Source organism: Homo sapiens, chromosome 17 (genome assembly GCF_000001405.40).
Source record: "Homo sapiens chromosome 17, GRCh38.p14 Primary Assembly".
NCBI lineage: Eukaryota > Metazoa > Chordata > Mammalia > Primates > Hominidae > Homo > Homo sapiens.
In genome coordinates this window covers 46,470,581-46,498,265 of record NC_000017.11, presented here as the reverse complement: position 1 = coordinate 46,498,265, position 27,685 = coordinate 46,470,581, and the positions used below count along the sequence as shown (strand labels likewise).

At 39.5% G+C, this 27,685-nt stretch overlaps 1 protein-coding gene across 3 annotated transcripts in view, besides 1 other annotated feature; it reads right to left on the bottom strand.

Moving 5' to 3' along the window:
• LRRC37A2 (leucine rich repeat containing 37 member A2) overlaps positions 1-27,685 on the bottom strand; it is a 676,337-nt gene that overhangs the window by 550,863 nt on the left and 97,789 nt on the right. For 2 of the 3 annotated variants that reach the window (XR_007065300.1, XM_047436147.1), the window contains exons 10-13: positions 22,901-23,066; positions 22,048-22,122; positions 21,307-21,494; positions 11,126-11,221 (exon numbers count right to left, since the gene is read on the bottom strand). Coding sequence is in view for 2 of the 3 variants with exons in the window: in XM_047436147.1 (XP_047292103.1) it covers positions 11,126-11,221; positions 21,307-21,494; positions 22,048-22,122; positions 22,901-23,066 (525 nt within the window). In the remaining variant the exon portion in view is untranslated. Of the gene's footprint in view, positions 1-11,125; positions 11,222-21,306; positions 21,495-22,047; positions 22,123-22,900; positions 23,067-27,685 lie in introns of those variants that run through there. The other variant, XM_047436145.1, reaches the window with a different exon arrangement.
• Positions 6,070-6,571: an enhancer, noted in NCBI's record as "H3K4me1 hESC enhancer chr17:44569061-44569562 (GRCh37/hg19 assembly coordinates)". NCBI's record gives its function as "activates a minimal SCP1, AML or CMV promoter by ChIP-STARR-seq in primed H9 embryonic stem cells {active_cell/tissue: H9 hESC(primed)}" and the evidence as "EXISTENCE:reporter gene assay evidence [ECO:0000049][PMID:30033119]".

Below are 27,685 nucleotides of genomic sequence, written 5' to 3'. Positions count from 1 at the left end.
TCTAGGTAGGAAAATGGATCTAGAAGTCATTGATATTTTGGCCGGGCGCGGTGGCTCATGCCTGTAATCCCAGCACTTTGGGAGGTTGAGGCAGGCTGATCACAAGGTCAAGAGATTGAAACCATCCTGGCCAACATGGTGAAACCCCGTCTCTACTAAAAATACAAAAATTAGCTGGGTGTGTTGGCACACACCTGTATTCCCAGCTACTCGGGAGGCTGAGGGAGGAGAATCACTTGGACTCAGGAGGCAGAGGTTGCACTGAGCCAAGATCGTGCCACTGCACTCCAGCCTGGTGACAGAGTGAGACTCTGTCTCAAAAAAGTCATTGATATTTTGGTGGTAATTGAGTCAACTGATAATTAGGGGAAAGTTGGGGAAACTAAATGCTGAGGACTATCACATGTAAGAGGGATGTTTGAAGGAGGAATAACTGGTCAAGGAAATCAGGTCATAAGTGGCAACAGGAAATTTAAGAAGGATGTAGTAGCCAAAGGTATCATACATGCATTGTATATGTATGTAGATATATATCTTTCAATGTATGTAGATATACATCTACATACATACACAATGTATGCATGTAGATATAATATACACTGAAAGTATAGATACATATCTACATACATTGAAAGTGTATATAGATATATACACACATACACACACACATATATACAATTATAAGGGGGGGCTAGAATAAAGAAACCTATATGTTTGCAATACTTTTACATTTTATTTAGAGGTAAAATGCTAACTCTAAGTAGGTAGGTTAGGTATATATTTTGTAATTCCTACAGCAAAAACACAGCACAGATATAACCAAAAGCCAATTAATAAAACATAACACTAAAAAATATTCAGTTAATCCAAAAATAGGCAGAAAAAAGAAACAGAAGAAACCCCCCAAAAAAGAAATAACCAGAAAACAAATAATAAAAAGGAAACCTAAATCCAATCATCATCAATCATATTAAATGTAAATGGTCCAAAACACATTAATTAAAAGACGCTGTCAGATTACATTTAAAAGAAAAACGAAAAAACAAGAAACCATTTGAAAATATAATGATATGGCCAAGTATGGTGGCTCACGCCTATAATCCCAGCGTTTTGGGAGGTTGAGGTGGGCAGGTGGCTTGAGCCCAGGAATTCAAGACCAGCCTGGGCAACATGGCAAAACCCCATCTCTATTTTTACAAATTAAAAAATAAATGAATATCATGATATCTAGATTAAAAGCAAAAGGGTAGAGAAAGATATGTCATTTTAACACTAGTCAAAAACAGTATTATACTACTAATATAAAACACTAATTTTATATTAATATTAAGTAATTTTTTTTTTTTTCCCCGAGATGGAGTCTTGCTCTGTTACCCAGGCTAGAGTGCAATGGCATGATCTTGGCTTACTGCAGCCTCTGCCTCCCAGCTTCAAGCAATTCTCTGGCCTCAGCCTCCCAAGTACTTGGGATTACAGGCAGCTGCCACCGTGCCTGGCTAATTTTTGTATTTTTAGTAGAGACGGGGTTTCACCATCTTAGCCAGGCTGGTCTCGAACTCCCGACCTCAGGTGATTCACCTGCCTCGGCCTTCCAAAGTGCTGGGTTTACAGGCATGAGCCACTGCACCAGGCCTGTTTTGTTTTGTTTTTTTTTTTTTCTTTTGAGATGGAGTCTTGCTCTGCTTCCCAGGCTGGGGTGCAGTGGCGTGATCTCGGCTCACTGCAATATCCAACTCCCGGATTCAAGTGATTATCTTGACTTAACCTTCTGAGTAGCTGGGACTACAGACGTGTGCCACCACACTAGGCTATTTTTCTCTTTTTAGTAGAGATGGGGTTTCGCCATGTTGTCCAGTCTGGACTCGAACTCCTGACCTCAGGTGATCCACCCGCCTCGGCCTCCCAAAGTGCTGGGATTACAGGCATGAGCCACCATGTCTGGCCAAATAATGGTTTTTAATATAATGATTATTACCAGAAATAAAGGTTATTTCAGAATGATAAAGGGGTCAAATAATCAAGAGGACAAAACTGTAAATGTTTCTGCATCTAATAACAGTGCCTCAAAATACAGGAAGCATAAACAGACAGAATTTTAAGGAGAAAGAGAACAAACCCATAACAATCATTGCAGACTTCAACACTCCTTTCTCAGTAATCACTAGAACAAGCAGACAGGAAATCAGCAAGGATAGGGAAGACCTTAACACGATCAACCAACTTGACCTAATTATTATTTATGAAACACTTTACCTAACGGCAGCAGAACACATCTTTCCTATTACAAACTGAACATTGACCTAAACAAACAATGTTTCAGGCCATATACAAACCTCTACATTTTTTTTTAATTCATCATAACGAGTATGTTCCCTAACCATAATGGAATTAAATTAGAAACCAACAACAAAGATGTCTGGGAAATCCCTAAATGTTTGAAAATTAAACAATACGTTTTAAAACAAATCATGGGTCAAAGAGTAAGTCATAGTAGAAATTTTACAATATTGTGAACCAAATGAAAATGAAAATAAAACATGTATCACAAATTCTAAGATATGTTTTTAAAAGTGCACAAAGGGGCTGGGCGCAGTGGCTCATGCCTGTAGTCCCATCACTTTGGGAGGCCAAGGCAGACGAATCACCTGAGGTCAGGAGTTCGAGACCAGCCTGGCCAACATGGTGAAACCTCATCTCTACTAAAAATACAAAAATTAGCTGGGCGTGGTGGTGGGTGCCTGTAATCCCAGCTACTTGGGAGGCTGAGGCACGAGAATAATTTCAACCTGGGAGGTGGAGGCTTCAGTGAGCCAAGATCGCACCACTGCACTCCAGCCTGGGCAACAGAGCAAGATTTTGTCTCTAAAAACAAAAACAAAAACAAAAAAACGCATAAAGGAGCACAGTGGTTTAGCCTGGAATCCCAGCACTTTGGGAGGCCAAGGCAGGAGGATTGCTTGAGCAAAAAAATTCAAGACCAGCCTGGGCAGTATAGTGAGAACTCATCTCTATTTAAAAAGAAAGAAAGAAAAATCAAAGAAAATGAGGTATACATGCACAAGAGGATATTATTCAGCCATTTAAAAAGTGAAGTCATCTATAAAGCTTAAGGTTTGGAAAATAAAATCTGTTTGCAGCAACATGGATAGAACTGGAGGACATTATGTTAAGTGAAATAGGCCAAGGGCAGAAAGACAAGTATCACATATTCTCATTCATATATGAGAGATTAAGAAGTTGATTTCATGGAGATAGGCAGTAGAATGATGGTTACCGGGGGCTGGGAAGCAGGTAGGGATGAAGACAAGTTGATTCATGGGCATAAAAACTCAGCAAGATAGAAGGAATACGTTTCAGTTTTTATTTGCACAGTAGGGTGACTAGAGTCAACAATAACTTAGTGTATATTTTAAAATAGCTAGAACATTTGTTATCTTCCCAATACAAAAAAAAGGATAAACATCTGAGATGATGGATACCCTAATTAACCTGATTTGATCATTACACACTGTATCAATCTATCAAAATATTACATGTACCCTTATAAATATGTACACTCTACCTTAAGGAAACAGTGAAAAAAGAAGGTGTGGAACAACGACCACAACAAAATCAAAGAGGAAAATCTTTGTGAACTTGGGTTTGTCAGGCCAGGAATCAGCAAACCATGGCCAATCCACTACCTGTTTTTCTAATAATCGAAACAATATAATTGATAATTTGTAAATTATGTGAAATTCAAACTGCAGTGTTCATAAAGTTTTATTGGAACAGCCATTATCATTCATTTACATATTGTCTATGACTGCTTTCATTGCTACAATGGCAGAGCTGCAACAGGGACAGCAAGGCTGAAATATTTACTATCTGACCTTTTACAGAAAAAGTCTGGCAAGGTCTGGGTTAGGTAGAGCTGTTAGATGAACACCAAATGTGTAAAAGAAAAAATGTGGTTAATCAGACTTCATCAAAATTTAAAACTTATGCTCTGGGAAAAAGACACCGCTAAGACAATGAAACACAAGGCACAGATGGGGAAAATGTATGAACATCACACAGCCTAACAAAGCACTTATATCCAAAATATATAAAGAACTCTTACTACCCAACAGTAAGAAATTGGCCAGGCATGGTGGCTCATGCCTGTAATCCCAGCACTTTGGGAGGCCAAGGTAGGCAGATTGCTTGAGCTCAGGAGTTCAAGACCAGCCTGGGCAACATAGCGAAACCCCATCTCTATTAAAAATACAAAAATTAGCCACACATGGTGGCATGCATCTGTGGTCCTAACTACTTCGGAGGCTGAGGTGGTGGGAGGATCACCTTGAACCTGGAGTCGAGGGGAATGACAGGCTGCAGTGAGCCAAGATCATGCCACTGCACTCCAGCGTGGGTGAAAGAACGAGACTCTGTCTAAAAAAATAAAAGAGGCCTGGTGTGGTGGCTCACGCCTGTAATCCCAGCACTTTGGGAGGCCGAGGCAGGAGGATCACAAGGTCAGGAGATCAAGACCATCCTGGCTAACATGGTGAAACCCCGTCTCTACTAAAAATACAAAAAATTAGCTGGGCGTGGGGGCGGGTGCCTGTAGTCCCAGCTACTTGGGAGGCTGAGGCAGGAGAATGGTGTGAACCCGGGAGGGGGAGCTTGCAGTGAGTCAAGATCGCGCCACTGCACTCCAGCCTGGCGACACAGCGAGACTCCGTCTCAAATAAATAAATAAATAAATAAAATAAAATAAAAGAAGAATAACAATAAAGAAAGCAACCCAATTAAACATCTTAAATAAAGATTTTGGTATCTTGGCCAGGCATGGTGGCTCATGCCTGTAATCTCAGCACTTTGGGAGGCCGAGGCAGGCAGATCGCTTGAGCCCAGGATTCGAAATCAGTCTGGGCAACATATCAAAACCCCATCTCTATTAAAAAAAAAAAAAAAACTAGCCAGGTGTGGTGGTGCGCACTTGCAATCCCAGTTACTTGGGAGGCCGAGAGGTGGGAGGATGGCTTGAACCCAGAAGGTGGCGGCTGCAGTGAGTGGTGACTGTGCCACTGCTCTCCAGCCTGGGCAACAGAGCAAGACTCTGTCTCAAAAAAAAAAAAAAAAGATTTTAGTATTTTTCCATAAACAATGATATACAGATGGCAAATCAAAAGATGCACATAAAAAGAGGCTCAGAACCATTAGTCATTAGGGACAAGGAAATTAAAACCAGAAGAAGCTACCACCATATACTTATTAAGGTGGCCAAAAAAAAAAAAAAAAAACTTGAGGCCAGGCGCAGTGGCTCACGTCTGTAATCCCAGCACTTTGGGAGGCCGAGGCGGGCGGATCACGAGGTCAGGATATCGAGACCATCCTCGCTAACATGGTGAAACCCCGTCTCTACTAAATATACAAAAAAATTAGCCGGGCGTGGTGGTAGACGCCTGTAGTCCCAGCTACACGGGAGGCTGAGGCAGGAGAATGGCATGAACCCGGGAGGCGGAGCTTGCAGTGAGCCGAGATCGCGCCACTGCACTCCAGCCTGGGTGACAGAGCCAGACTCCATCTCAAAAAAAAAAAAAAAAAAAAAACAAAACAAAACCCTGAAAATATCAAGTGCTAGGGAGGATACAGAGCAACCGGAACTCTTCATACATTTGCAGGTAAGAATGCAAAATGGTACAGCTACTTTGGAAAACAGTTTTGGCAGTTTCTTATAAACATACAACCCAGAAATCATACTCCTAGGTATTTACTCAAGAGAAACAAGAATTGTGTTCAGACAAAAAACATTATGGAAATGTTTACGGCAGCTTTATTCATAGCTGCCACAAACTAGAAATAATTGAAATATTCAACTATTGAACAGATAAATGCACTGTGATACACTCATATAAAGGACTGCTACTCAGCAATAAAGAAACTACTGATACAACAACACAGATGAATCTTAAATACATTATGCACTGTACACGTATAAACTAAAAAATTAAAATACCTATTTAAAAGTCAAACGGGCCGGGCGCGATGGCTCACACCTGTAATCCCGGCACCATGGGAGGCCGAGGCCGGCGGATTACCTGAGGTCAGGAGTTCAAGACCAGCCTGGCCAACATGGTGAAACCCTGTCTCTACTGAAAATACCAAAAATTAGCCAGGCGTAGTGGCGGGCGCCTGTAATCCCAGCCACTCAGGAGGCTGAGACAGGAGAATCGCTTGAACCTGGGAAGCGGAGGTTGTGGTGAGCTGAGATCGCGCCACTGCACTCCACCCTGGGCAACAAGAGCGAAACTCTGTCTCAAAACTAAATAAATAAAGTCAAACAGTACATGAAAAAATAATATGATCAAGAGAGGTTCACTGCAAGAATGTAAGGGTGAATCAATATAAGATCTACTAATATAATTCTATGAATATACACTACTGTAATTAATATGTAGCATGCAGGAGGAAAACTATATGATCATCTTAAAAGATGCTAAGATGTCATTTAACAAAATATAATAGCCATATCTGATTTTAAAAAAAAAAACTTAAACAGAAAAAAAATTGAAATAGGTGAATATACTCAACACATTAAAGGTCTCAAACCAACAGTTAACCATTAAATATCTGCAACAGTTCCATTAAATTGGGATAGCATACTAAGATGCCTATCATTATAACTAACATTTGACATTGTTTTGGAGGAGGTGGTAGGGAATGCAATTTTTTTCTTTTTTCTTTATTACCCAGGTTCCCATCAATGGTAAAGGCAATGTAATTTGAAGAGAAAAAGGAGACATAAATATAAGAAAATCAGATGTGTACATGATTCATGTTTGCAGATGACACAACTTTATTCCTAGAATAAAGTTACTCCAATCAAAGCAAAAGCTACAAGAAACAATTAGAAAAAAGAATAGGTGGCTGAATTCAAAATTAATTTTTTAAATTAATGAGTTTTCAACTAGAAGTCCCCTAGCAGAGCAGGTATTTTCATAGACAAATTAAAGATTAAATAAGATATCATGGCATAAGTGAAAATATTTAGCAAATAAATTATACTTCATCCAATTTTGTAAAAAATACATACATATACATGTGCCAGGTGCAGTGGCTCACGCCTATAATCCCAACACTTTGGGAAGCTGAGGCGGGCGGATCGCCTGAGCTCAGGAGTTCGACACCAGCCTGGGCAACACGGTGAAACTCCATCTCTACTAAAAAATACAAAAAATTAGCTGGGTGTGGCAGCGAGCACCTGTAGTCCCAGCTACTCAGGAGGCTGAGGCAGGAGAATCGCTTGAACCCGGGAGGTGGAGGTTGCAGTGAGCCGAGATCGCGCCACTGCACTCCAGCCTGGGTGACAGAAGAGAAAAAAAGAAAAAGTATGTACTTTTTTGCTCAAAAGAAAAAAAAAAAAGTATGTATGTATGTACACATGTCCACCCAAAGATGGTTACCTAATGAGAGGAACCAAAATATTAATGTTCTGGGTTTTCTAAATTTTCTACATTACTTTCCTGATAAAGGGAAAAAGCAAAAATAAAATGTAAAGGTTTTTTTTTTTTTTTTGAGATGAAGTCTCACTCTGTCACCCAGGCTGAAGTGCAGTGGCATGATATCGGCTCACTGCAACCTCCGCCTCCTGAGTTTAAGCGATTCTCCTGCCTCAGCCTCCCAAGTAGCTGGGACTACAGGCGCCTACCACCACGCCCGGCTAATTTTTTGTATTTTTAGTAGAGACGAGGTTTCGCCATGTTGGCCAGGCTGGTCTCCAACTCTCGAGCTCAGGCAATCCACCCGCCTCGGCCTCCCAAAGTGCTGGGATTACAGGTGTGAGCCACCATGCCTGGCCAAAATTTAAAGGTTTTACTAGATTTCCAGAAGCATTATTTATGAAAGTCAAAGCTTTTTTCCTAAACTAATTATCGAAATCACAGACTAAAGAATGTCAAGAGCTCAAAAATGGGGTGAACAAACTATGGCCGGCCACAGCCTGTTTTTGTAAATAAAGTTTTATTGGAACACAGCCACACTCATTTGTTTACTTATTGTCTATGGCTGCTTTCATCCTACCAGGGCCGAGCTGAGCAGCTGTGACATAGCCAGGTGGCCTGCAAAACCTAAAATATTTACTAATTGGTGCCCTAAGAACAAGTTTGCCAATCCCCTGATCATTAGATCATCTAGTCCATCCTATACTGTACAGGTGAGTAAACTGAGGTCCACACAAGAATGACTTCTCTATGGTCCAAACTCAAGTTAAGTAAGAAGCAAGGAAGACTCCATTTCCATGGTACTTTCCACCACTTGGCCAGGAAACTCTCAAAACAGACATCCTGCTGTTTGGGAGGTAAACCTCAGGGTCTCATATCACATCGCAAGTGAGTGTATTTGCCAATACATTGATGAGAAGAGGACTTTGGGCCTAGTCAGTATCCAAGAACAACTGCTAAAGGTCTGAGTAAACCTTAGTAGACTAGAAAAAGTTAATTTAAAAACCACACAGGCCAGGCGCAGTGGCTCACGCCTGTAATCCCAGCACTTTGGGAGGCCCAGGCGGGCGGATTGCCTGAGGTCAGGAGTTTGAGACCAGTCTGGCCAACATGGTGAAACCCTGTCTCTACTAAAAATACAAAAAAATAAGCCGGGTATGGTGGCATGTGACTGTAATCCCAGCTACCTGAAAGGCTGAGGCAGGAGAACTGCTTGAACCAGGGAGGTGGAAGTTGCAGTGAGCCGAGATCACACCACTGTATTCCCGCCTGGGTGACAGAGGGAGACTCCATCTCAAAAAACAAACAAACAAACAAACAAACAAAAAACAAACAAGCAAAACACATAAGCACAGACTAGGGAAGGTTTAAAAACAAACAGATGCTGAGATCCCAGTACTTTGGAAAGCCGAGGCAGGCAGATCACCTGAGGTCAGGAGTTCGAGACCAGCCTAGCCAACATGGTGAAACCCCGTCTCTACTAAAAATACAAAAATCGGCCAAGCATGGTGGCAAGCACCTGTAATCCCAGCTACTCGGGAGGCTGAGGCAGGATAATTGCTTGAACCCGGGAGATGGAGGTTGCAGTGAGCTGAGATCACACCACTGCACTCCAACCTGGGCGACAGAGTGAGACTCCATCTCAAAAAAAATAAATAAATAAAAAATAAATCTGATAATACCAAGTGTTGGAGAGGATACAGAACAAGAGGATATGTTTCACAGTATTGGGGGCAGTGTTGGTTCAACCACTGGGAAATGTTTTTTTAAAGCGGGACATTCATATATCCAACAACCTAATAATTTTATTCCTAAATAAGAGAAATTCATTCAAGAATTCTTACGACAAATCTTTTTTTAATAACAAAAAACTGGTAACATTCACAATTGACAGGAAAATAGATAAATTGTGGTACTCACACAATGGAATGCTATTCAGCATGAAAATGAATGATGTCTAGCTACAAGAAATCATATACATCAGCAGTCCCCAACCTTTGTGGCATCGGGGACCAGTTTTATAGAAGATAATTTTTCCATTGGGGGAGGAGGTGGTTTCGGGATGTTTCAAGTGCGTTACATTTTTTTTTTTTTTGAGACAGAGTCTCGTTCTGTCACCCAGGCTGGAGTGCAGTGGTGCGATCTTGGCTCACTGCAACCTCTGCCTCCTGGGTTCAAGCGATTCTCCTGCCTCAGCCTCGTGAGTAGCTGGGATTACAGGCACGTACCACTACATCCAGCTAATTTTTGTATTTTTAGTAGAGATGGGGTTTCACCATGTTGGTCAGGCTGGTCTCGAACTCCTGACCTCGTGATCCGCCCGCCTCAGCCTCCCAAAGTGCTAGGATTACAGACACGAGCCACCATGCCCAGCCCAAGCACATTACATTTATTGTGCACTTTATTTCTATTATTATTACATTGTAATATATAATGAACTAATTATACAACTCACCATAATGTAGCATCAGTGGGAGCCCTGAGCTTGTTTTCCTGCAACTATATGGTCCCATCTGGGGGTGATGGGAGACAGTGACAGATCATCAGGCATTAGATTCTCATAAGGAGTGTGCAATCTAGATCCCTCAGATATGCAGTTCACAATAGGGTTCATACTCATATGAGAATCTAATGTCACCACAGATCTGACAGGAGGTGGAGCTCAGGTGGTAACACGAGCAATAGGGAGTGGCTGTAAATACAGATGAGGCTCACTCACTTGCTGCTCACCTCCTGCTGTGTGGCCCAGTTCCTAACGGGCCATGGACCAGTACTGAGGGTTGGGGATCCCTGATATAGATGACTCTTGGTAATAAAATATTTAATAAATAGCAAGTCCCAGAAAACTACATATACCATATGTTATTTTACACGCCATGAAAATACAGACTAATAACAGTGTGTCATAAAGATTAAGATTAATCTTAATGGACCTGAGGTCCATTTAAGAAAGAAAAGCACACACTTCTTTAAGAACTGGGACTTTCTACAATTTGTTTTTGTATTAACACAGGACTCTAAACAAAAGTTACTCAAATGTTAGTAGTTGTTTTATAGGAAAATGGGTTAATAACCTTAAACTGTATTCTAAAGCTCCAACTATGACCATTTTGAATGCGTTTTAAGAAAACTGACACTTTTTAAGTCTTAGAAACTATAGTAGTCAGAGAAACTAAATGTACTGAGCAAGAAAAAGGGATGCCTTGGAAGAGGCTGAGGAAAGGAAGAGAAAGAGAGAGAGAGAGAGAGACAGAGGAGGATATGAGAGTTAATTTTAAATATCCTAATAACTGACATATGGAAGATGGACTGAAGTTAGGTTTCTGTAGCTTGGGATTGTATAAGAACCAATAAGAAAATTAGTTCTAGTTCAATATAAAGTAAAACAATAACTGGAAAGTCTCAAAATTGAATGGCCTGCCTTACAAGATGGTAAGCTTCCTATCATGAAAATATTTCAGTAAATAATATCACCAGCCACTAGGATTATTGTACAGATGTTTCTCATACTGAACATTTCCAATACTAAAATTTTCTCATTTTATGAAACTGCATATGCTATAACCTTCCATAATACTGAGTAAATGGCACTTACGTTTCGCCTGAGTTATTATTATCATTACTTTTTGGCCTATATATCACTCAATGGGCATACTCACTGGTTTGATATCATTCTCCAAAGAAGCAAGGAAGTCTCCTCTCATCACTTGCAGGCTTTCTGCTTTCTCCATGTCCACTTCCACTTTAGTACTGGCCTAAGAAGAGATAAAAACAAAATGTAAGGACTTCCAAGATTTAAGAATAGTTAAGAATATATTCAATTTAAGAACGTAACTCTTGAGGATTTAAAAGCATATTTTCACACATAAAAAAATCTGAAATATTTGCAAACCATATATGTGATAAGGGATTAATATCCAGAATACATAGAGAACTGCCAAAATTGAACAACAAAAAACTAAATAAAAAATGGGCAAAGAACTTAAACAAACATTTCTCCAAAGAAGATATACAAATGGCCTTAAATAAGCACATGAAAAGATGTTCAACCTCACTAATCATTAGGGAAATGCAAATCCAAACTACAAAGAGATTTCACTTCATACTCATTAGGATGGCTACTACCACAAAAATGCAGAAAATAAGAAGTGTTGGTGAGGATGCGGAGAAATCAGAACCCTTATGCACTGTTGGTGGGAACATAAGTAAAATGGTTGAGTCACTGTGGAAAACAAAAATATGGTGGTTCCTCATAAAATTAAAAATAGAATTATCATATGATCCAGCAATTCCACTTCTGGGTATATACCCCCAAAGAACTGAAAACAGGGTCTTGAAGAGATATCTGTACAGCCTTGTTCATGACAGCATTACCCACAATAGCTAAAATGTGGAAGAAATCCATATGACCATTGACAGAGGAATGGATAAACAAAATGTGTTACGTACATACAATGGAATATTATTCAGCATTAAAAAGAAAGAAAATTCTGATATCCTGCAACATGACGAACCTTGAGGACCATACGCTAAGTTAAATAAGCAAATACTGTACAATCCACTTATATGAGGTTCCTGGAGTAGCTGATATCCAAGAGACAGAAAGTAAAATGGTGGCTGCCAGGGGATAGGGAGAGGAAGGAATGGGGAGTTACTGTTTATGGGTATGGAGTTTTAGTTTTACAAGATGAAAAGAGGTCTGGAGATGAATGGTAGTGATGGTTGCACAACATTAAGAATGTATTTAATGCCACTGAATTGTACATTTAAAATGGTTACACGGTAAATTTTATGGTTTTCTGTTTTTTTTTTTTTTTTTTTTGAGACGGAGTCTCACTCTGTCCCCCAGGCTGGAGTGCAGTGGCGCGATCTCGGACGCTGCAAGCTCCACCTCCCAGGTTCACGCCATTCTCCTGCCTCAGCCTCCCGAGTAGCTGGGACTACAGGTGCCCACCACCACGCCCGGCTAATTTTTTGTATTTTTACTAGAGACAGGGTTTCACCATATTAGCTAGGATGGTCTTGATCTCCTGACCTTGTGACCACCCGCCTCGGCCTCTCAAAGTGCTGGGATTACAGGCGTGAGCCACCACGCCCGGACAATTTTATGGGCATTTTAAAACAATTTTAAAAATTGGAATCAAAGAAAACACATCTCTCAAATTCACAAATATATATATCCTCTGAACAAGTCCACTTCTAGTAATTTATCCCCTAAATATATTCACAAATGTGTACAAAGTTATATGTACAAGTATATCTACTAAAGTAACTTGTTATGAAAAAAGATGGGAAGCATATTAATAATGTCTACCAAGAGGGGATCAGTTATGTAAATTAGAACACATCTGTACCAAGGGACACTGTATAGCCATTTTAACTCATGAGGCATGAGTAAGAAAAAATACATACAGAGAGTAAGAACAGTGAAAAATCCATACAAAAAGAAAATATATACAGAAATGAAAACACAGCCATACTTGGCTGCATATCAGAATAACCTCCAGAGCCTTCAGAGATATACAGGCGCTCAGTCCCATTCCCCACGGGATTTTGATTTAACAGGCCTATTAGAGGGTCTTTATAGTTTTACCAAGTACCACAGGTGATTCTGGTACTGAACCAGGCTTAAGAACCATTACTCTAGGAGACCAAGAACCTAAAACTTTCATTTGTATTAATACATTGTGCTTCAGAATCTATGTGCCAGCTCCAAATAGTCTGCTTACTGCACCTGGAGCTAGCATTTAGACATCTGGAGAAGCATCAAGGCCTTTATCAGCACTTGGAGCTGCCTGGACCAGATGAGTGATTAAGATACCAACACGTGTTTTAAAGCGACTGGGCTCACTACCAATAGCACAAAACAACACAGCCTAATTTTTAAATTGGTATCATGGCTTTGAAAAAAAAAGCATTTTCAAAAAAAGCTGACTATAAAACAAACGCATGTTAAATAAATATCAACCTTCCATCAATTATTATGAAATATGAGTCATATTTTTTTTAGGAAGAGACTGTGAGACAAATGAAGTGACAGATATAAAAAAAAGTCATCCTTGTGGGATAAAAAGAACTATGGCAGGAAGCTGGGTGAAGATGGCAAACAGAACACAGTTATTTATCTTCCCTTCCGCCCCAAATCCCACAAAATGACAGAAAGTGAGACAGAAAGGCTACAAAGCATGAAAGAAATATCCATAAGTTTTAACTGTGATCTAACAGGAGTCTCAGAAGGAGAGAACAGAAAGAGTCATAGAGAAGAAACAATAAAAGACAGAAGAGAAAAAAATTTCCTATAGCTGAAGAAAGGTGTGCCTCTGCAGTTTAAAGGGTTCAGTGAGTGATGATCGGGATAAATGAAAAGAAGCACACATCTGTCCAGACCCACTGCTGTAAACTTTCAGAGCACCAAAGGTGAAGAGAAAGTCCTAGAACCTTTCTGAGGGACAAAACAGGTTTCCTGCAAAGAAACCAGAACGAGATTGGTATGATAACTCTCACTGGCAACACTAGAAACTAGAAGACAATGAAACCATGTCTTTGAAAAGACATTTGGATGGCTACCCTAGAAAATGATTCCTTGTGTGCACAGGGAGGCAAGTAAGCATTTTCACAACAGTATTTTTTCAACAGCCACAACCAGAAATAATCCATATGTTAAATAAATTATTCATTAATTCTATTTACTGAATACCTACCAGACACCAAGCACTATCTGAGGAACTGGAGTCATAGCAGTAAATAAAACAGAAAAGGTCCCTGTGTTCATGGATCTTATATTTTCCATTATGTGGCAATATTCTAGAATACTCTGCATTTGTCCAAAATAATGAAGGGGACTTACATACACTGACACAGAAAGCTATCCAAGGAATATTTGCAAGTGAAAAATGTAAACTGCAGTATAATTCCATTAATGTTCATTTTTTTAAAAAAGCACATACGTATATGAATGTAAATATTATATAAAGAAAACAAACTTCAAAGATATATCCCAAATTTTGGCTAACTCTGGAGAGGGAAAGGAAAGTGGTGTTAGAGATGGCCTTTCTCATTTTTCCCTATATGCTTTGACATTCTTGAATCTTTTACAAAAAGAAAGCCATCATCTATAACTTCTATACTTTTAAAAATAAAGTAAAAAGTAACAAAGAGACAAATATTTTACTTCAATAGAACAATTAACATTTAAATTATTGGGCTGGGCATGGTGGCTCACGCCTGTAATCCCAGCACTTTGGGAGGCTGAGGCAATAGGATCACCAGGTCAGGAGATCGAGACCATACTGGCTAACACAGTGAAACCCTGTCTTTACTAAAAATACAAAAAAGTAGCCAGGCGTGGTGGCAGACACCTGTAGCCCCAGGTACTCAGGAGGCTGAGGCAGGAGAATGGCGTGAACCCGGGAGGCAGAGCTTGCAGTGAGTTGTGATGGCGCCACTGCACTCCAGCCTGGGCGACAGAGTGAGACTCCGTCTCAAAAACAAAAACAAACAAACAAAAAAACATAAACATTTAAATTATTAATAGGGCTTATATTGGCACATATGAGGTTTGATAAATATTAATCGCATTTATTTGGCATTTCTAAGTTTAAAAAAAGAAAAATGGGCCTGGCACGGTGGCTCACACCTATAATCCCAGCACTTTGGGAGGCCGAGGCAGGCGGATCACCTGAGGTCGGGAGTTCGAGACCAGCCTGACCTACATGGCGAAACCCTGTCTCTACTAAAAATACAAAATTAGCCAGGCATGGTGGTGGACACCTGTAATCCCAGCTACTCTGGAGGCTGAGGCAGGGGAATCGCTTGAACTCGAGAGGCGGAGGTTGTGGTGAGCCGAGATCACGCCATTGCACTCTAGCCTAGGCAACAAGAAGAAAACTCCATCTCCAAAAAAAAAAAAAAGAAAAAAAGAAAAATGGTGTCACAGGAAACAAGCATATCCGTGAAAGAATTATGATAATTAATAATATACAAATGTCTACAGTTCTTTATAGTTTATAAAGTATGTTCATACACACTATCTCATTTCACCATATCACATTATCTCATTTTATACTTATACAAACCTGGGGGTTTCCATAAGTTATAAAAGGCAGATACAGGACTTCCTTCCTAGATACCCTTATATAAAAGTTTTAACTCTGATTCAAACTTTTTGATACATCTGAAAGGATTCTACAAGATACAAACTCTCAGGCCAAAGGGAAGACAAGAGCTCTGACCGAAACATTAAAATCTCAACAAAGCTACCAGCCTCACTTTAAACACCTCTTTCCTACACAGGCCTAGGTTTTTACCATAATATTTTGCATTCTGATTCTCTTACAGTAAAACCGAATTCAAATGATAGATACATACAGCAGTATGAAAGAAAAATCTTGCCCATCTTTCAAAATTTGCCAAAAAATACGATAGATTTTAGGACTGAAGCTGGTATAAAACTTGTCATTTTGCTAATTATTAAGAAAAGACTCACCCAATTAATTGCTGAGTCCTTTCTTAAAAGTGAATTAAGATGGGTGTGGGGAAGAAGTATTTCAAAACAAACTGTTTTCAGGCACATAAGGAATTCTGTAAGTTACATAATTGTAAGCCATCAATATTCCAATTGTCAATTATTCCTACCTGCTCATTAAAATAAATTTTCTAAGGACTGCTCTTAGCTGACTTTTAGCATTTTATCAAAATTTGTAAAATTTTAAAAAGTCTATAATTCTGAATTTTTACTTTTTCAGAAAACCTTTTCTCATTTGTTTGAATTAGCAACATTTTTCCTGCATTTTATTTATAACAGCTAATCAATATAGAAGAGGCAGCATCTTTCAGCTTATACCTGCAGAAACTAATAAACTTGTATTTCAACACTAGCAAATATCAAGTGGTCACCCTTAAATTTCATAACCTTTTAAATCTGACCTTTCAAAGTTCTTATCATTCCTCTTAAATTAAGGGTAGAATGACCTTAATCAATCAAAAATTCTGCAAAAAAATAAGAAATAATTTTATGAAATTCTGTAAACATAACTTAGAGCTTTGACTCCGGTGGAAAGTGTATGTGAGAGAAAGTGTGTGTGTGTGTGTGTGTGTGTGTCCTCAGTTTATTTCCTCACAACAGATTAGAGAAAAAATTTGGGTTATGAATCTTCTCAACCTGAAGCAGAAATTCCTTTCAAGATAAAAACAACCAAATGTCACATGAATTTTAGTTGACCGCAATCATAGGTTCAAGTATAAATGACATGAACAACAGGTGTTTCTGACCAGATTTTCCACTTGTCTCAGAAAACCTGAAAAAACAGTTTAACAGGAAAGACCTGTTTAGTCCACCTGACTAAATCTTTCTTTAGGCCTCAATCTTTTGAAAAGGAAGCAAAATAACACCAATAATGGATTTTTAAAATACAAAGAAAGAACATCATAACACTTGTACGTTTTGAATGTTTTAAAGTTCAGTAACAACTTTATAAGTTTCAATTTAAATATTTATTCATCAATCACTATTAAAGCTACAAACATCTATAGCAATGGAAGACTAAAACTGTACTTCTTTTGTTTAGCCAAGGACGAGTCATTGGAAAAATAGTCTTTAAAGACCTTCTGACAATGCAGATTTTTTAAAATGCAGAAGATGAAATGTTAGTAATATTTCTTTTTGGGGGTAAGGTTAGTGTCTTACATAGCTTTCTCATCCCTAAAGTGCCTACATAGTTATTCCATTGATATGGTGAAAAGTTAGGAGCTGTTTGGTACAAGGAGCAATGATCGCAAGTCAATACATATCACCTGAAGCTTACAGATAATTCTATCATGTGGAAAAAAGTGATGGAAACATGAACTATTTGCACTACTGCTTACTTGCAAATCAGAAGGATAATATATTATGTACAAGGGTGACAAACATTTTAGCTTTACAATTAGAAAATGTGTAACTACAAAGAGTCAATAAAAATCAGAAATTCATATATTGAAAAGTACTGATATCCTCTCAAATCAGCCAATTAAAAAAATGGAGATAACTAGCATTTATAGAGTTTACAAGGCACTTTTATATAAAGTATTTGCTTTCATTCTCATAAAAATCTGATTAGATAGGTAGTGTCTCCCCTTGACAGGTCAGAAACAAAAAGGTGGAAGAAATATAATGCATAACCACACCTTCTGACTACGATATCTGCGATCTTCCCACCATCCCTCATTGCCTCATATGTAGATAAACCCAATATATGCTTGAAGAAAGCATGTTTCTTACTGAGACAACGGCTTAAAGTGAAATTTTGGGATAGGATTATTGTAGTTAAAATGACAGATGACTAAATAAGAGAAAAATTCCATGGCCAACACATATGAAAAATATGACAACTAGTAAACTAGTTACTGTGGATTACATCAAGATGCACCCATGTGGTCTGAGATGAAAGATCAGTATGGTAGGGACCAGTTTTCACACTGTTTACATCATTTTTCTTGAAGTTGCCATCTCTTCTTATTAAAACAGTATAGCATGGCCGGGCATGGTGGCTCACGCCTGTAATCCCAAAACTTTGGGAGGCCGAGGCAGGCGGATCACGAGGTCAGGAGATCGAGACCATCCTGGCTAACACGGTGATCCCATCTCAACTAAAAATACAAAAACTTAGCCAGGCGTGATGGTGGGTGCCTGTAGTCCCAGCTACTTGGGAGGCTGAGGCAGGAGAATGGCTGAACCTGGAAGGTGGAGCTTGCAGTGAGCCGAGATTGCACCACTGCACTCCAGCCCGGGCGACAGAGTGAGACTCCGTCTCAAAACAAACAAACAAGGAAGAATAAAAACATAGTCCCTGAATGGATCCATTATATAAAGACCCAATACAATATTCCCACACCATCCAAACCTTTGGCATTCTTGAGCTAGAACAAATCCACCTCTATTATGTAGGGAAATTATGACTTATGGATAGAGCGTGATTCAGAATAGTTACGTAAGTTTACTCATTTAAAAAATATTGGCTGGGCATGGTGGCTCACACCTGTAATCCCAACATTTTGGGAGGCTGAGGCGGGCGGATCACGAGGTCAGGGGTTTGAGACCAGCCTGGCCAACATGGTGAAACCCCATCTCTACTAAAGATACAAAAAATTAGCTGGGCGTGGTGGCACATGCCTGTAGTCCCAGCTACTTGGGAGGCTGAGGCAGGAGAATCACTTGAACCCAGGAGGCAGAGGTTGCAGTGAGCGAAGACTGTGCCACTGCACTCCAGCCTGGGCGACAGAGTAAGACTCTGTTTCAAAAAAAAAAAAGAAAAATAATTTACTGGACACCTACCATGTGCTCATTATTTAGATCTATTTGGGGTACTATGGGAGACTCTGAGGTGAATAAGATAAGGATTTAAAGTCTAGAACAAGGGCCAGCAAACTTCTGTAAAGTGGCAGATAGTACCTAAAATAAAAGCACTAAAATAGGCTTTGTGGGCCATGCAGCCCCTATTGCAAATACTCAACTCTGCCACTGTAGCATGCAGGCAGCCATAGACAGTACACAAATTAATGTGTACTGTTCCAAAAAAGCCCTTTATTTATAAAAACTGGTAGTTGGCTGGATTCCTGGTCTAGAACCAGTGATAGGATATACCCAAATATCTACATACTCAACCTAACTGTTCAGGCTTTTATTTCTTGCCTGAACTGTTATAAAAGCTCCCCCTCTTGTCCTGTGTCGCCAACTCCACTCCTCTAACTACTCCACTCGACAGAGCTGCCAGAGTGATCTTATGTTTTAACACTATGTCACTGCTATTCTTAAAACTCAATGGCTTAGCACTACTCACAGAAAAAAAGTCCATACTTCTTAGCAGAGTATAAAAGGCTCTTTGTGCTCCATCCCTACTTTAGTCTCCTGACTTATCCCCCACAATCTCTCTACCATCCCTCCCCTAACTTCCATGCTGAAGCAATACTAAACTACTCCAACGCACTATGCTATTCTGTGTCTCTGCTTCTTTGCATATGTTGTTCCCTCTACCTAAAAGGCCCTGCTCTACCAACAGACATGCATATGAAGGTTTCTCTCACCCCACAAGTTGACCATATCTGACATGCGTTCACTCTCTTGCCTTGCATGTACTTTCTGTTACTGCACGTGGAGGGTTAGACTGAGGGCAGCTTAATGGTAGGTACTTTACTTCTTTGCAGTTGGGGTATTAACTCCTAGCACAGGGTCTAGCATGCAGTAGATGCCGAATAAATCTACTGTGAACCAAAGTCAACTGACAGTACCATAAATGATACATTACTATTTCAAGAAGGAAACGGGTATAACATTCTTGAAAGGGAAAATGTGAAAAGGTGTGAGGACAGTGGTAGCATATGAGCCAGGTTTTGAAAAGACAGGTAAACGTAGAGGATGAAGATCCTCAGTGATGCAAAAAAAACAAAACCAAAGCAGAGATGTTGAAAAATAAATTAATGTCTGATGACCGGTGATTATTTAAGTTTGGCTGAAGTATGTGGAGAATAATCAGGAGCACATTTGGAAAGGCCAGTTAGGGTCAGATCTAGAGGACCCAAAAGACCCAAAAGAAGCCTGTACTTTGTTTTGTAAATGATGGGGAATCACTGAAAGTGTCTGAATGGTTGAATGATATGATACAGGAAGGTTAATCAAAGAGAAGGTGGGTAGTGGCAGTGAGAACTAAAAGGCACTGCCAAGACAGAACTGAAAAAATTTGGCAAGTGACTTGACCTAGGGCACAGTAGAGTGTCAGGAATCAAAGATAATCCTGATGTTTTAAGCCTGGGAAATTGGGATAAACAGGGAAATGCGAGCAGAAAGGAAAGTAGTAAAAAAGACAATAAATTTGGTTTTGCAATATTAAATCTGAGACCTGATAAAACATCTAGGTGAGGGTATTTAGTACAAATCTGAAAGTAGGAGACAGATATGTTCAGTAAATCTGTCTACAGGTGGTAACTAAAACCTAAAGGAGAGAAGAGATGGAAGATCAAGAGCACTTTATCAAAATAAAAGTATCCTAGTACGTATTTCTACCATGGTAACTACAATATTATTGTACTAATTTGAAAATATGTCCATTTTCCTGACTCTGAACTCCTTGAGGGAAGAGTTCACAATTATCTTTATGTCTCCAGCCCAATAGCTTGAACACATCAACTATTCAATATATTTGCTGAATAAAGCAGCCCCCAAAATTCTAGTACGTGGAAACTCCCACTTCCTCTGACATATTACAACTTTTTTTTTTTTTTTTGGAGACGGAATCTCGCTCTGTCACCCAGGCTGGAGTGCAGTGGCGCAATCTCAGCTCACTTCAAGCTCTGCCTCCTGGGTTCACACCATTCTCTTGCCTCAGCCTCCCGAGTAGCCGGGACTACAGGTGCCCGCCACCATGCCCGGCTAATTTTTTGTATTTTTAGTGGAGACGGGGTTTCACCGTGTTAGCCAGGATGGTCTCGATCTCCTGACCTTGTGATCCGCCCGCCTCAGCCTCCCAAAGTGCTGGGATTACAGGCATGAGCCACCATGCCTGGCCATATTACAACTTTTAATACAATACAAAGATTTAAAAACACTTCTTCAAAATTTTCACTTTACGTGTCTGTGTCAGATGGTGATGACCTAAGGTAGATGAGTCAGTGGTTACTACAGGGCAGATGCAAACATTATCTTCCTTCCTGCTACTCTGAAGATTTAGCAGTTGACAATTAATTCTTATTCCTTTTACCATCTCTTCTCCACCAAAAGTCAGCATTTCCCTACCCCTTGATATGCTTGAAAGGAAAGAGAAAGAATACCGGCATAATGTTTATAATCTGTTTAGCTGATTTTCCTGACCTTTATGTGTCTATTCATAGCAGTGGACTGGGCTGCTCGCACCAGACCCTCCAATTCAGCACCACTGAAATTCTTGGTCTCCACGGCCAGTTCTTTAATGTCTACATCAGCAGAGAGTAACTGATGCCCTCTCATTCTTGCTGTGTGGATGTGAAGAATCTGTAGTCGGCCTTTCTCATCTGGCAAGCCTGATGAAATTAAAAATAAAATAGGCATTTTCCTAGTCTCGAAAGCACCATCAGAGGAGATTATCATTATTATTATTATTATTATTTTGAGACAGAGTCTCGCTCTGTTTCCCAGGCTGGAGTGCAGTGGTACGATCTCAGCTCACTGCAACCTCTGCCTCCTGGATTCAGGCGATTCTCCTATCTCAGCCTTCCGAGTAGCTGGGATTACAGGTGCACACCACCACACTCGGCTAAGTTTTTTGTATTTTTAGTAGAGAAGGGGTTTCACCATGTTGGCCAGGCTGGTCTCGAACAACTGGCCTCAAGTGATCCACCTGCCTCAGCCTCCCAAAGTGCTGGGATTACAGGTGTGAGCCACTGCGCCCAGCCTAGAGGAGATTATTATGATCCTAATGTTTTCCTTATAGGTACTCAAGCATGTAAACATCTACTTCTCATGATATAAACCTTTTCTAAAAAATACTACACCATATGACATTGTTCCTGTTAATGAACTCTAAATGCCTCCACTCCCCCCACCACACACCCAATCAGTGACAGATCTCCTTACCTATCTCCATTTTAACTTCCAGTCTTCCAGGTCTAAGAAGAGCCTCATCTATCAGATCTGGTCTATTGGTCATTCCTGAACACAGATGTTAAAACAAAACAACAAATGATCAGAGTTCAAAAATAAAATCAAATGTCCTTTTAGTATATGTAAGAATAGTAATTTCCCTAACAAGCTAAGGAGACTTTGCTTTACTATTTCACTACTGTATAAGCCAATGGAATATAAATGTTATGAAAACTTCCAGTATTTAAAAAGAAAATTTAAGATTCAAAGGGTAAATAATCTGTCAAAGTGACAGAGGGGCAATGTGACACGATCTCTCTGACTCCAAAGTTCCTTCTCTTTTTTACAGGCCAGTGGTTTTCAGACTTCATAAAACAGCAGGGTGTTTTTTTTTTTTTTTCCCCAGAAGTCATCTTCAGAAGCACCTCAGTACATAAAACAGCTAAAAGAGGAAGTTATAATAGTGATGTAGGATCTGAAACGCACTCCCTGGCCCTCACTGACCCTGAAAGCACCTCTGAGGACCCCTGAAGGCCTGCAAGACCCAGTTTGAAAACCACTGCATTCCATTGTTTCATGTGTATTTTTCATTTTTGGGTGAGCTATAAGCTTCAACCTACATCTTTTTCACCTGTGGGTGAGCTATAAGCTTAAACCTACAAGTGACTGAAATCCATCTTTTATTTTTCCTATTAAGCCTAGGCATTACAATAGATTCTTCAATATCACTGGATTCTAATTTGGAAACACTGGCAAAACAGTTTAATCACAACCTACACACATCTTAATTCAGAACTTATGGCTAACGTTTTTGAATGAATAGTACTTTTTTAAAAAGTAAACATACCAATGACTAGGATGTTGTTTAGCTGCTCCATGCCATCAATTTTGGACAGCAACTGGTTGACAACAGTGTCATGAACTCCCGTGCTACCAGCCATGCTCCCTCTCTGCTTGCAGATGGCATCAATTTCATCAAAGATGATGATGTGCAAACCACTGTTAGCACCAAGCTATTAGGGGAAGAAATTATATTAAAGATCATAATTTGAATGTCTTATTAAACAAACTAATCAGAAAAACAAAACAAAGCTTTCAACAGATTGACTTCGCTTCATTTTGACTAATAAATATGGCAAGTGCAATTGTGGTTGTTGTCCTCTCAAAGGTGTTGGAACTAGATTCTCAGAATTCTGCAAACTGAAAACTCATTCTAGAACCTCATATTTAATAGCTATAAAATGAAAATACACATTATATACTGATAGTGTGTGTGTATAGATAGAAAGTAAGTAGTCGATCAAATAATTTATATACATTTCTTATCTCACTATTTGAAAGACCTTACATTTGTCAGATACTTTCATTAAGTCAGTCAGTGGCAACACCCTCCCATTTTCCCTGAATTTTGGTGAGAAGACTGTCCCAGAAGCAGTAGGTTTAATGTTTGTTTCGTTATATTATGTAACTAAAGGTTAACTCCACCTACAGGTTGACTGGGAATTGGACAAATGAGTGAAGAAACTCAACATGACTCACATGTACTTATATTACATGAAAACAGATTACGCCTTCCTAACAATAAAGTGAGAACAGAGACGGTTTATAAAAAGAACATGGTTAACAGGGTGCTGTTTCTTCTGCATAATGATTTCTGCCTTAGTTTACTAGAAATAGAATCACCATTAAAAGAAATTAGTTTGTATATTTTGAATCTTTAACAGATACAAACACTTCTGAATGCTACTAATTCATTAGGTTAATTTAACACGTACCTTCTAAAATTTATATTTAAGTAATTTAGTCTCCTATCAGGGAGTAAAGTGCACTCTGGAAATTTTTTCTTTTATAAACAAAAAACACGGCCGGGTGCGGTGGCTCCTGCCTGTAATCCCAGCACTTTGGGAGGCAGAGGAGGATGGATCAACTTAGGTCAGGAGTTCGAGACCAGCCTGGCCAACATGGTGAAACCCTATCTCTACTAAAAATACAAAAGTTAGCTGGGTGTGGTGGCAGGTGCCTGTAATCCCAGCTACTCTGGAGGCTGAGGCAGGAAAATCACCTGAACCCAGGAGGCAGAGGTTGCAGTGAGCCGAGACTGCACCACTGCACTCCAGCCTGGGCGACAGAGTGAGACTCCGTCTCAAAAACAAAAAACACTAGGGATTAACAAAACTGGTAAAAAATGAACATAACCTAAATATGACAACATACGGATAATAAAAATTAAATGAGCATAATGAGACTGAGGATTAAATATGGTTAGTATCCATTAAATCTCTGATAAGGATATAATCGTTGTTTTGTTTGTTTGTTTGAGATGAAGTCTTGCTCTGCTGCCCAGGCTGGAGTGCAATGACGCAATCTTAGCTCACTGCAACCTCTGCCTCCCGGGTTCAAGTGATTCTCCTGTCTCAGCTTCCTGAGTAGCTGGGATTGTAGGCATGTGCTACCACTCCTGGCTAATTTTTGTATTTTTAGTAGAGACGGGGTTTCACCATGTTTGCCAGGCTGGTCTCGAACTCCTGACCTCAGGTGATTCACTCAGCGCAGCCTCCCAAAGTGCTGGGATTACAGGCGTGAGCCACCATGCCCAGCCTAATCTTTGTTTTAATAAGAGAATGTTTTTTAACTTTTTAAAGGAGTAGTAGATTTGTTAACAGAGCAAAAGTTGTAAAACAAATAAAGTGTAAAAATAAAGCTGGGCAGAGTGGTACGTGCCTATAGTCCCAGCTACTCTGGAGGCTGAGGCTGGAGGAATCCTTGAGCCCAGGAGCTGGAGTCCAGCCTGGGCAACACAGTGAGATTCCATCACTAAAAACATAAATTAAAATATACTACATTTGCCATGGCTTGTGCCTGTAATCCCAGCTACTTGGAAAGCAGAGGTGGGAAGACTGCTTCAGGCCAGGAGTTCAAGACCAGCCTGGGCAACATAGTGACATCCCATCAATAAAGACCCATCTATAAAACATCATTACATTACCTAAAGATAAGTGCTGTTAATGGTCCACAGATTTCTATATTTTAACTAAATATTAAGAACTTACTGCACCTTGTATTCTCTTGAATATTATTCTTTGAAAACGATTTTCAATGGTTATTTTTGCTTCCAATTGCAAAATATATAATTATAAAAAATGTGGGAAAATAGCAAAAAATAAAGAAATCACAATCATCTCAAACTCAGCCAAAATGGAGCTATGTAATACCTTGCATCCTGTTTTTCAGTACAGGTATTATTTTAAACCCTTTCCCATCCCTATACAATATATATATATATATATATTTTTTTTTTGAGACGGAGTCTCACTCTGTTGCCCAGGCTGGAGTGCAGTGGCGTGATCTTGGCTCACTGCAAGCTCCGCCTCCCGGGTTCACGCCATTCTCCTGCCTCAGACTCCCGAGTAGCTGGGACTACAGGCGCCCACCACCATGCCCGGCTAATTTTTTTTTTGTATTTTTTTTTTAGTAGAGATGGGTTTCACCGTGTTAGCCAGGATGGTCTCGATCTCCTGACCTTGTGATCCGCCTGCCTTGCCCTCCCAAAGTGCTGGGATTACAGGAGTGAGCCACCGCGCCTGGCCGATGATATGATTTTTAATAGCTCTATAATATTTAATCATATGAATGGTTTCACAGTTTAACTCTCCTACTCCATATTCATTCCTTACTGTTAGATATTTAATTATTTCTAAGTTTTTAGTATTATATATGTTGCTGCAATAAACATTTTCTTTTTTCATTCTTTGTAGAGACAGGATCTCACTCTGTTGCCCAGGCTGGAGTGCAGTGGTGCGATCAAAGCTCACTGCAGCCTCAAACTCCTGGGCTCAAGCAATCCCCCACCTCAGCCTCCCGAGTGGCTGGGACTACAGATGCGTGCTACCACGCCTGGAAAATATTTTATTTTTTTTTGTAGAGATGGGGTTTTGCCATGTTGCTCAGGCTGGTCTTGAACTCCAGGACTCAAGTGATCCTCCTGCCTCAACCTCCCAAAGTGCTGCGATTACAAATGTGAGCCACTGTACCCAGCCTACAATGAACATTTTTATACTTAAACGCTTGACAATATAGATGAATACTTGCTAAAGGCAAATTGTTAGGTTAAAAGGTGTGTTAAGTATTTTAAGGCCCTTGAAATAGGAACACTTGAAAAAGTAGAAACACTTTTCCAGAAAGGTTTTATCAATCTATAATCCCAGCACAGTACCTGATAGTGCCTATCTTGGTATATTCCCACAAGTAATGAATATTAGAAACACTTTAAAAGTAATTCTCAATTTGATAGATGGACAATAGTATCTTTCTGTTGTTTTTAAATCACATTTATCTAATTACTGAAGGGGCTGGTGCTGTTAAAAAATCATGTTTTTACCATTGGTAATTTTATTAGTATTTGATATGTCTTCTATACCCTTTTCTGTTGAAATTCAAGAGCTTTTCCTATTGATTAAAAAATGATTTATACATTAGGGCCATTATTATACTTGTAACTACTTTATTCTAGTTTGCCAGTTGTCTTTTCTTTATGGCATGTGTGCATATATATAAGTATATATATTTTTTTGAGATGGACTTTCGCTCTGTCGTTCAGGCTGGAGTGCAGTGGTATGATCTCTGCTCATGCAACCTCCGCCTCCCAGGTTCAAGCGATTCTCGTGCCTCAGCCTCTCACATCTGGGATTACAGACGTGCACCATCAAGTCTGGCTAATTTTGTATTTTTAGTAGAGACAGGGTTTCACCACGTTGGCCAGGCTGGTCTCAAACTCCAGACCTCAGGTATTTGCCCACCTCGGCCTCCCAAAGTGCTGAGATTACAGGCGAGAGCCACTGTGCCCAGCCTATTTATGGTATATTTTCGGTAAGTGGAAGGCGTTTTCTGTTTCTACTAAACAGCCAGCACAATTTTTATTTTTATGGTATTTTCATTAGTTTTATCCTTAAAATTGTTCCCCATTACAGACACTGATGGTCACATATTTTCTTTTCTTAAATTTTTGCTTTACATATAATTCTTTATCTGGTGTTTTATTTTTGTGTATGGTACAAGTAAAGTGAGAAGCCAACTAATTCTTCTTCAAATAACCGACCCAGCATTGTTCCCTAAATTATCCCTCCTTTCTTCGTTGACTGAGCTGCCATCATACCAAGGTTTGGACTTTGATGTATGCTAGGTTATTACCAGCCTGTCTACTCTGCTCAATGGATTCATTCATGTTTTTATCTCCATAACTTTACAGTAGTACATTGAAGAAGCTCTTCTCCTCTATACATTCTTCTTTTTCATAACTATCTTGGCTATTTCCAACCATGTGTATTTCCAAATGAACATCAGAATCATTCTTATGAGGGGGAATAACCTCCACCAATTAAAAATAAAAAAATAAAGAACAGACAAAAACCCAAGCTCTGACTGAAATTAGGTTAAATATCTAAGTTTAGGAAATACTAAAATCTGTATAGCATATTTGGTTTTTTAGAAGAATAATGCCTCTCCAATTATTCAACACTTTTACGTCTCTCAGTAAAGTTTTAAAATTTATTTTTATTTTTATTTTTAGAGATAAGGTCTCACTATGTTGCCCAGGCTGGTCTTCAACTCCTAGACTTAAGTGATCCTCCCACCT